Source organism: Homo sapiens, chromosome 1 (genome assembly GCF_000001405.40).
Source record: "Homo sapiens chromosome 1, GRCh38.p14 Primary Assembly".
In the NCBI taxonomy this organism is placed as follows: domain Eukaryota; kingdom Metazoa; phylum Chordata; class Mammalia; order Primates; family Hominidae; genus Homo; species Homo sapiens.
The window spans coordinates 67,618,991-67,630,926 of record NC_000001.11 but is presented as its reverse complement, the minus strand read 5'-3'; the positions used below and the strand labels follow the sequence as shown (position 1 = coordinate 67,630,926).

The following is an 11,936-nucleotide window of genomic DNA, read 5'->3' as shown; positions in this document are numbered from 1 at the left end:
CAGAACTCACTGGACACTTTCCACATCTGATTGTCTTATTGCATGTACCACATTGTGAATACCTCAAAGAGCAGGGAGTATGGCTGCTTTGCATTGTGTCTCCAGTGTCTAGTACAGAGCCTGGCATATACATAGTGTGCTCTCAATCATTATTTGTGACATAAACAAATAAGACACTTTAAAATATAACTAGTGTTAGTGCTAATATGACCTGGGAGTCATGAGGGGAAGTCAGAGGTGGCAAATCTCCTCTTTCTTCATCTCACCTTTCCCCCTTCCTACCAACAGCCAAATAGATGCCAAAGGTGTGACGTGTCATGGAATGGATGAAGGCCAAGTGTTATCCTAGATTCTCTGCCCTTAGCTCTCCCCATCAGGAAACACACCCAGGAATGCTCTTCTACAAACCCCTGGCTTTCGGAGAAATAAGGGGACAATCACTCTGCCCAGTTTGTGTCTTCTTTGGCATGGATGCATTTTCACTCCCCTCACCATGGCTGGATAACTGTCTTCCAATTCACACCCACTTTGGGATTTTTATTCTGTCCACTCAATTATGTAGGAAGCAGCAGATTATTGAAAATCATGTAAATATGATCAGAAACTAGTCAGAAAATAATCAAATATGAAAAGAAATGAGTCAAAAATGGGGAGTGTGACTTTGGTAGTAACAGAACAGAGAAAAGAGTCAATATATTTACTCCATCACATTTTCACTTCAAACAGGGAAATAATAACGTATTGAAGGATGGGAGGAAACAAATGAACAAATGAAACAAAACCCTCCAGTTATAGCAAAGGCATCATTTTAGAGCTGAGTGGTGAAGGATCAGAGTACCAGCATCCGTCTTCCTTGTTACCAGGCCCTCAGGAAGGTGTGCAGAAGCCACAGGGGGTGAGGAGGCCACAAGAGAAGCTTGGACATCATGCAAAGAGATGGCAGGCCTTAAGCTGTCCTTGGATTTGACTTGGCTCTGATAATAATTTGTCCAACTTGGCAGTGATATGACAATAAATTCCATGGATGTGAACAGCACAATGCATGCCAAGAAAAGTTGTTTTTTGGCAGAATTACCCTCATTGTTACTGTGTGCTGGGCAAAAAAAAAAAAAAAGTGCAAGAGATTCAGCATCTCTAACTTTCTTGCTCAGGACACAGTCATTTCTTTTCTCCCCAATACACAGGGGAAGGAGGCTGGTGAGGTTACCTTCAACACACTGTGTGCATCCCAATGAGCATGTCAGAGCTAAAAACTGATGGATGCTCAGCCCACTTTAGGACAGGCAATAGCTCAGTGTGCTAGCTCATAAACTGAGAACTTTATCTTATCAAGGATATTAGTGACCTCCCAGTCAAAAGCCCTGAACTAGTTCAACTCCACTGCTTGCAGGGTGAGACTGAAGTCAAGACACAGGAAATGACTTACTGAGAAAACATTACTAAGTTAGCAGCAGAGCCATGAACTGCTTACCGGGTACCTTCTTTATTGCCATTGCCTTGCTGGTAAGTGCTCAATAAATGTTAGCCATCATGATCATCATCAATATCATTATTACTTTTATGTGCTCATCACACACCCTGTGGCAATTAGATGGCATTTTCCCACTTTGTGAATACAGAAACCAGGAAATTTACCCAGGGTCCCACAGCTAGCAAGTGTCACAGCAGGCCTGGAACACAGGTGTGCTGACTCTACCTCCAGTAGTTTTTCCAGCCCTCATCCTGACTGTCCTGTGATCTGTGTATTGTGAAGCTATGAGTCCAGAAAGACCCTGTAGATGCAAAAGTCTAGAGAATAGCTCTTCCAACACTGTCTTCATAGAAGCTATGCTGTTGGGATGCTCCACAGCAGACAACATAAAAGTTCTCTTCAAAATGAGCATTTTCTTCCTCTCTGTTGAGTGCACAATGGGAACGGTGCTGGAAAGCATAAGCAGTTCAGCCATGATGCTGAAGAGGTGGGCAAAGGGCAGGTTCCAGGAGGCCCCATGTCATAACAAGGTGCTTGGGTTTTATCCTACCAGCAGAACCTTTGATGGGGCTTAAGTAAAGGACACCGTGGCAAAAATTTGCGCTTGAGATATTTCACGCTGGCGGTTGGGTGTAGGATGGATTTGAGAGGATTGGAGGAGAGGCAGAGAGAACTGAGAGGAGGCCGCAGCTTAGGTGAGGTGGTCTGAGGAAAGGAGTAGAGGGGCAGATTCAGGATTGACTTGAAATCAAGATGAAAAAGAGGGAAAAGGTGAGTCTCCAGTTTTTAGCTTTGATGACTGATTGGGGTAAGAGTAGAAGAAGAAGAGTTGGATTGAGGGCAAGATGAAGAGTCCTGCTTTAGACATATTGAGATAGAGGGGCCTAAAGGATATTTTATCCTTGATTCCCTCAAAGGAAGGCCTGGGACAAAGGTTTTTGCATGGGTCATTTATCTGGGAAGTGATCCCAAGAACAGGAGAGAGGGATCAGGGAGGGTGGGATAAAGGAAAATGGAAAAATGGAAAGCCAGTAATGGATGTGTATCATATTGGTCACTGCCACAGGACAGTGATGCTGGACCCCTGGGGCCTCCAAGAAGCATTTACGCTGCATTTCAGGACTGTCCACCTGAGAGAGATAAGAGGGAGAAGCGGTTATCCACTGATTCTTGTACTTCAGTAATCCTGATTCCACATGAAGTGTTATCCCAACCCCCACCCCCAATCTGGGTTGCACACGCCCAAGTGTTAGGCATTTCCACAGGCAACCAGAATGACTAGGCATCCAGGGGCATCAGAGAAGCCCCAAGGCACGAAGCGTGGTCTAAGCCAATTGTTGAAAAAAGTTACTGTCTGTGTAAATTGAGTCATAGCCAGGGTAGAACCGCTTGCCAGAGCCACTAATGGACTCAGAAATGAGGCCAAGAGGATATGAGAGGGTGCATAAGAGACACCCAAGTCATGGGACCTCCAGGTGGGTCTGTCCAGGTGGCACATATGTAAATCATCTAAAGTTCTGGAGAGAGACTGGGGCTGGAGACAAAGATTTGGCAATCATCAGTATCCAGGAGGTTGTTGAAACCATGAGGAAAGTGTGTCAAGTGCCCAGAGCAGTGAGCTGAGGAGGAATCCTGGAGGACCCTGAAGGACTGAGCAGAGGAAAAAAAGCCCACGGAGGCACAGGAATGGCCAAGGAGATGTAAGCAGAACCTGGAAAGGATGGTGCCATGGGAGCCAAAGTAGTAGCAGGTGACAAGGAGATTAGCTGAAGGTCTCCAGTGCATCACACCATAAAAAAAATCCCACTGCGTTTGGCAATCAGGAGGTCTTGGGTGCCATCACCGAGAGGAAGCTCAGTACAACTGTGGTGTTAGAGGTCAGAAAATATTGGCCTGAGGTATGAATGGGAGGTAGAAATCTGAAAAGAATAGTGCACCCTGCTTAGTCACAAGGACTGCCCTTGAACAGGATGAGGGCAGTGAAGGCATGAGCACAGGGACAGAGAGAGGGCAGATTTTAGGTCAGAGAGTGAGGCACTGAAGGGGATCAGGCAAAACAGCCTTAGTTTTCTTGGTGAAGCAATATTCTGTGCTGAAACTGTAGTAGTACGTGAACTAGAACTGGCCATCCTCCTTCTCCTGCTGAGAGCTTTCAACCTGAGGACCGCAGGAGAGAGTTGGGCTAGTACTCAGTTATTTCTATCAGTCATTCAGTCAGACAGTCCATATTTACTGAATAGTAACAATGTACAAGGCCTTATGAAACTGGGGACAATACAAGATGACTGCGATTTATTCCCTACTTATAAGGAGCTTTCAAGCATAGGTCCTGGGAATTTGTTACAAACCAGAGGAAGCTAGAAACTGGACTGGGTCAGGGATGCTGGCCTGTGTCCAGAAGTCTATTCATTTATTCAACAAATCTACTGAGGGATTATTATGTGCCAGGCACTGATCCATGTGCTCAAAATATATCAGAGAACAAAACAGACAACAATCCTGGTCTCATGGACCCTATATTCTAATGGGGTATATTTGTCAGGGAAGTCTAAGTTATGCTGTATTAATAAGTGCAGAGTATCAGTGGCTTAACAAAACAATGCTTTATTTATTTCTCTTTTACACAAAATCCATTGTGATTCTACAAGGCAATTGTCTTCCATGCAGTGACTCAGGGGCCCAAGAGGTTTCATCTGAGGTTCCTTAGTTGTGATGGCAGAGGAAAGAGAAACCGAAGAACTTCCCATGGGCTTGTAGGTACTGCAGCTTGGAAATGACTCACAATGCTTTCTCTCAGGACTAATCACATGGCCTCGCCTACAACAAAAAAACTAGCAAATGTGAGGAAGCACATGGAATATTTGGTGAGTGTTATTGTTTCTGCCACATGGCAGGAAGCAGTCTATAGGCTAAATAAATAAATCAGTTACATACCATATTAGAAAGGGATGAGTGCCATGGAAAAAGCAGAGGAGGGTAAGGAGGATTGGCTGTGTTGGGGGAAGAAGTGGAGGGTGGAATTTTTAAATCAGGATAGTTGCTGTGGCCTCAATGAGAAGGTGGCATTTTGAGAAAAGCCTTCAAGGAGATGAGAGAGCCAGTTGAATCTCTGAGAGAAGAATGATCTCAACAGAAAGAATAATCTGTGCAAAGGCCCTGAGGCAGGAAGATGTCTTAGAGAGTGAAAGAGGTAGAAAGTGAGGTTGGAAAGGTACGGGGGGAGGGGCAGGGAAGGTGAGGAACAGCATGCAGATTGTGTATGGCCTTAGAAGCCCTTTGTCAAAACTTTGGCTTTTACTTTGAAAGAAAAGGGATGCTGCTGTTGGATTGAGGCAGAGGACATCACGGCCTGTCTGAGGCATTCATGTGATCACCCTGGATGCTCTGTGGCAAATAGGCTGTAGGGCAAAGTGGCTGCAGGGAGAACCAATAGAAGGCCATTACAGTCATCTAAGTGGAAGACAATGCTGGCTTGGACCAGACTAACACTGGTGAGAAGCAGTTGAATTCCGGAAAGTTTTGGAGGTCTGTGCCCTCACGTGGAGTTTCTGGAGCTCCCTTGCTTCATCAGTCATGACTTGTTAGGTCACAACAGCCCAGAGCCCCTGAAATGAAATTATCTCTGAGCCCATGGTGGGCTTGAGGGGAGGGGAGGGGCAGGAAAGGTGTCTTGTGCCAGGTGGATTCTCAGGTACAGCTTCCAGAGCATGGGGACGCTGCCTCAGGAGTGATCACACTCACTTCTCACTAGACCACAATTCTGCAGTCTCTCCACTGTCTTAAATCACGGAAATGCACTCTGAAGAGCAAGGTGGACAGACTGAGGCCTGCAGAGTCCAGGTGACTTAAAAATCCAGAGTCAGAGTCAGAAAAGGAGCCCCGGTGGCCTGTTCCCAGTGGAGAGCTGCTGCTTCCTTCCCTGCCCTTCCCTCCCGTGACCCGCTTTTGTCAAGATTAAGGTACGTGGGAGAGGGGAAGAGGGGCAAAGGAAGCCTTTCCTATTCTCTCATTCCCACCCCACTCCTCTGCACTTGGCACAGGCTTTGGGAGTCTCTGCACTCCAACAGAACTTTCTAGGTCTGGCACTATGAAGGACATGGAATGTATCAGGATGTAGAGCAAAATGGCCCATGCGGTGGTCAGAGATGGAAAGCACAGACTTTAGTATCAGAAGAACTGTTCCAATCCCAGTTTTTTCACACAAATCAGTTATGGTACCTTGTGAGGTTACTTTACCTCAGTGAATTTTCATTTCCTTGTCTGAAAAATGGGGATAATAAGCCTATCACATAGGATTGTTATAATAAACATAATATGTGTAAAATGTCTAGCTCAGAATAGAAGGATGTGACAGATCCTGTAAACTGGTTCATTCAACATCTATTCTCAAACACCGTCTTCTTTGCTTTTCTCTACTAGCAAGGGTCAAAGAGGAAATACCCAAACTCCCAGCTTCCCTGCAGCTGGGGTTGGCCACAAAACCCAGCTATGACCAATGAGACATAAATACCTGTCCTTGACTTTTCCAAATAAAAAGGCAAAGCTTCTGAGCAGCAAGTCCTTGCTCCTCTCTCTGTCTGCCCCCCTCTCTCTTCTTGCCTGGAACTTAACTGCGAGGCTGGAGGTAGAACAGCCATCTTGATGTCATGAGGCAACAAGCACAAGGTTCACAGGCTAAGGCTGATGAAGTGGCAGGAGAGAAAGAGCTAGGGTGCTTGATGACATTGTTGAGCTTCTGTTTTACTCCAGGGCCACCTGGCCAGGAGTTTATTGTTGTGTGAGACAAGTACCTCATTGCTGGTATTCACCTGTGTTTGTTAGGTCTCTGCTATTTGAAACTAACATAATCAATAATAGCTATCAATATGGTCATCATCATCATTATATATGTTCTCCTACAACTTCAACAACCTCTGGCTCACAGGTGTAGATTTTATTATCTAATTGGGGAGCCAATTAAGATTTATTAATCAAACCTTTAAAGTAGCATTTCCCAGGGAGTATTCCAAGAATGTTGGCTCTTACAGATATTAATAGGTCTTCTGAGAAAAAAAAAAAGCTCTATTGTCAAGTTAACAAATGATGATACTTGGCAGAAATCTTTATAACAGCAGTTTTCGAATTGGTATACTATTTGAGGGCTTTCCAAAGGATTTTAAAGAATCAATTACAGATCCTCAACTATGATAAGTATACTTTCCAAAAGTAAATATGTGTGATGACTCCTCCTTATGGTCCTCCTCTCCCTCCTGTTCCCTCATTAGGTCCATTCTCCCACCTCACAGAAGAAAATCACATCTCACTGCTGGCCAGACTTACCCTGGGGCACTGCTCCAAGGTGGAGAAATCTCTGTGCTACAAAGGAACAACCCCAGGCTGGCTACGGTGGCTCATGTCTGTAATCCCAGCACTTTGGGAGGCTGAGGTAGGCAGATCCCTTGAGTCTAGGAGTTCAAGACCAGCCTGGGAACATGGCGAAACCCCATCTCCACAAAAAAATATAAAAATTAACTGGGCATGGTGGTGCGCACCTGTAGTCCCAGCTACTTGAGAGGCTGAGGTGTGAGGATGGCTTGGGCCTGGAAGGCAGAGGTTGCAGTGAGCTGTGTTGGTGCCACTGCACTCCTAATTTCTTTTTTTTGTTTGTTTAGTTTATTATTATTATTATACTTTAAGTTTTAGGGTACATGTGCACAATGTGCAGGTTAGTTTCATATGTATATATGTGCCATGCTGGTGCGCTGCACCCATTAACTCATCATCTAGCATTAGCACTCCTAATTTCTAATGACTGGGAAATAAATCTATGTGCAAGTCATGTGGTGTTCAATTCTTTGCTTTCAACAGAATGGAAGGACGTAACTGAATTGTCAGCTGATAGATCGTTTAAAATATCTTTATGGTAAATGGCTATGTTATCTTCGTCTTATATCTATGAAATAGTTTAAACTTGAGTGTCAATGCTATGAATTCCATTCCTACCTACTTACTTATGTGAACACAGCTTCTCAATGTTTCTATCTGTAAAAATAACAAATAGAAATAGAATGGATACTACACCCTGTCTCATTCTAGCAATAAATAATTCACTCATGGGATGCAAGAAGCAGTTGAGAAAAAGTGCCACTCAGCTTACCAATAAATGTGATTCTAATAAAAACTTACTTTTTAAGTTTAATAATTATGCATAAAATTTATAATATTCCTCTGTTGTTTTGGTTAATTCTGTGCTAATCATAACTAAATTCAGAAAAAATTTAAAACACTTGCAGCATTTAATTTACATATGTATTTTTTTGTTTTGTTGTAGAGGTAGAAAAGTATAGTAGAATGATAAATAAAAGGTTTTCAAGCATTATTATTTTAGAATGAACTTCTGTGTAGAAGTGAAATGGAGAAAAATGATGAAAATGTATATTAAAGAGCTTGTTTATATAATTTTAACTAGATGATGGATCTCAAATCACTATAGTTGGTGTCAAATTGCTGTGGTATTTAGAATTCTTTGAGAAACGTTTAAGAGCTTTATTTTTATTTATTTTTTTAATTTTTTTGAGACAGAGTCTCACTTTGTCACCCAGGCTGGAGTGCAGTGGTGCGATCTCAGTTCACTGCAACCTTCGCCTCCTGGGTTCAAGCAATTCTCCTGCTTCAGCCTCCCAAGTAGCTGGGATTACAGGCACAGACCACTGTGCCTGATTAATTTTTGTATTCTTAGTGGTTTTGCCATATTTGCCAAGCTGGTCTTGAACTCCTGACCTCAAATGATCCACCCTCTTTGGTCTCCCAAAGTGCTAGGATTACAGGCATGAGCCACCGCGCCTGGCCAAGAGAGTAATATAAGAGCTTTATTTTTAAATGGTACTATTTATAATATGTTCAGAAATTACCTCCTTTGCAACCATCTCAATGTATCATAAAATTTTTAGATATTTAAGTTAAAAGATGGATGAAAGTATACCATTTTCAAATTTTATGGAAGGGTATACGGGCAAAGATTTGGAGATAAGTGCTTTACAGGATCTCTTTTCATGAACAGATAAAAATGTCAAGTAATCAAGAATGATATTGTGGAAATAGTGCTTCTACCAATAATCATTTGTTCTTCTTTAAAAGACTAGTTATAACACTGCCTTGCTTATTACACATGTACCTGGAAAACCTTTACACACAGACCATGCAAAGACAAACCTCTCTCACTTAATCACAAGTAGATGTTTAGAATTCAAAGTTATTAATCTATTAATCAGATTTCACCTAACTGTGTGAATAAGAAGATAATACACGCAGCTATAAAAAACAATGAAATCATATTCTTTGCAGCAACATAGATGCTGCTAGAGGCCATTATCCTAAGCAAATGAATGCAGGGATAGAAAACCAAATACTCCATGTTCTCACTTATAAGTGGGAGCTAAACACTGGGTATTCGTGGACAGAAAGACGGCAACAATAGACACTGGGAACTACTATGGGGGAAGAGAGAGAGAAGGTCAAGGGTTGAAAAACTACCTATTGGGTACTATGCTCACTACCTGGGTGATGGGATCAATCACACCCCAAATCTCAGAATCATGTAATATATCCATGTAACAAACCTGCACATGTACCCCTGATCTAAAATAAAAGTTGAAAATTTTTTAAAAAAAGAAAATACAGTCCATAATAAATAGCTTCAAAGAGAAGTACATTTGAAGAACAAAATACAGAAAAAAAAGAGGATAAGGCTCATAACAAAAAGCAAATTAAATATGTTGCCAGTGAGGCTGAAGAGAAAAAATAGGCAATGGCAAAGGGATGATCGCTACACTTCCCACCCCAGCTGTCTTTTGTAGACCGTATTTTCTATTTTTAAGATACATATGTTGGGGCCCTGCAGTTCTAGAAAGAGATGGAAAAGGCAAAGAATAGCAATCAAGAATAATAAAGAGCTGATTTTGAGAGGCCTGGATACATCTTAAAGCAATATATTTATTACAAGATTTATGTTTCTGTCTAAATGTAACAGGAAGTCAAATGGCAACCCAAGGGATGTTTTAGAAAGAGCCAAACTTTGAGGAGGAAATTATTTAGGGTACATTAGGATGTATTTCAGTTCTTTTGAAGGGATTAGCTTTAGTAAAGGATCTTTGGTGATCAAAATTCCTGCTGAGATTTCTTCCACTATATAAAAGAAGAAATAGAATAAAAGGAAAATAAAATTTGAGGTTAAAATGGCATTACTGGGCTGGACCCAGTTGCTTATGCCTGTAATCTCAGCACTTGGGGAGGCCCAGGCAGGCAGATCACTTGAGGTCAGGATTTTGAGACCAGCCTGGCCAACACGGTGAAACCCCGTCTCTACTAAAAATATAAAAATTAGCTGGGTGTGCTGGTACATGCCTGTAATCTCAGCTACGCTGGAGGCTGAGGCAGGAGAATTGCTTGAGGCAGTCTGGGAGGCAGACATTGCAGTGAGCAGAGATCATGCCACTGCACTCCAGCCTTGGAGACAGAGCAAGACCCCATCTCAAAAAAAAAAAAAAGGTCTTACCCCTATTATAAGATGATCAAATTGTAGCTTGAAATAATTCTAAAAACTAAAGACAATTCTTGGTTATGAACTTAATAATAATGGATGTTTTTAATACTATTATATCAATAACCCCATTATTAACAATATTAATAACTGAGTATTCAGTTTTATACCTAGTTTTCAAGCTTCATTTAAGCAGGAAATCCTAAAATCTCTGGTAGAGGTGTCAAAATGGTCTAAAGGCAGAGGGATGTGGAGAAGACATGAATGATTCACAGTAGAGATTTTTCAAGTGTGAAAATTAAGGAGCCAAGTGAATATAGCAGGAAAGTGGATTTTTTAGTTCACTCAAGAAAGAACAGATTGCTTGCTTTTTTTCTTTTTTCTTTCTTTTTTTTTTTTTTTTTTGAGACAGAGTCTTGCTCTGACGCCCAGGCTGGATTGCAATGGCATGATCCCAGCTCACTGCAACCTCTGCCTCCCAGGTTCAAGCAATTCTCCAACCTCAGCCTCCCAAGTAGCTGGGATTACAGGTGAGCACCACCACGTCTGGCTAATTTTTGTATTTTAGTAGTGACGGAGTCTCACCATGTTGCCCAAGCTGGTCTCAAACTCCTGACCTCAAATGATCCACCTGCCTCGGCCTCCCAAAGTTCTGGGATTACAGGCGTGAGCCACTGCGCCTGGCCAAGGCTTGTTTTTAATAAAACAAAACAATTATCTCAATTGTGGTCCATTCCAACATCATATATTAAGTGGTGGTACTGTGGGATCAAGTGTAAGGCTCTTCTTCATTAAACTTGCCCCTCCTTCTGCATCTGTGAGTCCACAACCTGCACAACTGCACATGGCAGCCTTAATCCACTATCACCCATTCGCCTAAACTAGAAACCTGAGACTCGTCGTTGATTTCCTCTCATATTTTTCTTATCCGCTTCTCTCACTCCTGACTGCTTCTGCCTAGTTCCCAAGCTGCTCCTGGGAGTGTTTGTCTCCTAGCAAAGAGCTCAATGAACATGTATAGAATAAATGACTTGATTTGATATGAGCTATGATTAACTCTTTTCTCCAGGAGTGCTCTGCCAAGAATGAGACGATGGACACAAAAACCCCTTGTTCTCTAGACTGTTCAGGTGTCATCTCCTCCAAGAAGCCCTTTGGATTCTCTCCCTCCAATCAGACTGGGGTATGTGACCCTCCTCTGATTTTCCAAAGCAACCTGTGCTTATCTTTACCAAAAACACAATTCTGTCTCATAACAATCAATTTGCTTACCTGCATGCCCCACTAGATAGGAACTTTTACACCTGGATCCTCAGCACCTCACATAGTATCTGGTACAAAGTGCAAAGACAATGAGTGTTATTGAATGAGTGGATGAATGATATAAAGAACAAGTGCAGTAAGAGATACACACAAAGTAGTCCTAAGGGGAGACAGATGAAGGAGAAGCTAAATCTGCTGTTGGGTTGAGTAACAGTGCCATTTGAACTGGTCTTGAAGGATGAGTTGCAGTTCTCCTAGTGATCAAGGCAAGGAAGGGTATTCCAAGCAAAAGGAATAGCATGAACAAAAAAGCGTGTATGCAAGAAAGCACATGCAGTATTTAAGACCATGGGAGCCTGGCAAAGCTCAAGAACAGCTTTCAGTGGGAGGAAAGGAGGCAGATGTGGCTAGAAAGATTGTTTTAAACAAGTTATGAAAGACCTGGAAGGGATACCAAGGGGTTTGAAGATTATAAGATAGAAAGCCACTGCAGTTTTAAGGCAGAGTAATAACACGATCAGCTCTCTAAAAGAAAAAATAATATTTTCTTTCCTTTTCAGTGACTAAAAGTCATAGATCTAACTTCCTCCATTTTTAGATTTCTTGATACTTCATGAAAATAAAAAGTAAAGGCCAGCTGAAGCAATTATTCCCCTGACTGGTCTGAACGAGGGATTTTTCTTT

General features: G+C 42.2%; 1 long non-coding RNA gene across 1 annotated transcript; it reads right to left on the bottom strand.

Moving 5' to 3' along the window:
* Positions 1-4,055: 4,055 nt before the first annotated feature.
* On the bottom strand, positions 4,056-11,841 carry LOC124904197 (uncharacterized). The gene is made up of 2 exons (XR_007066160.1): positions 11,262-11,841; positions 4,056-4,288 (listed from the first exon to the last, which is right to left on the bottom strand). It is a non-coding gene; the product is annotated as an uncharacterized LOC124904197 (long non-coding RNA).
* Between the last annotated feature and the right edge of the window lie 95 nt (positions 11,842-11,936).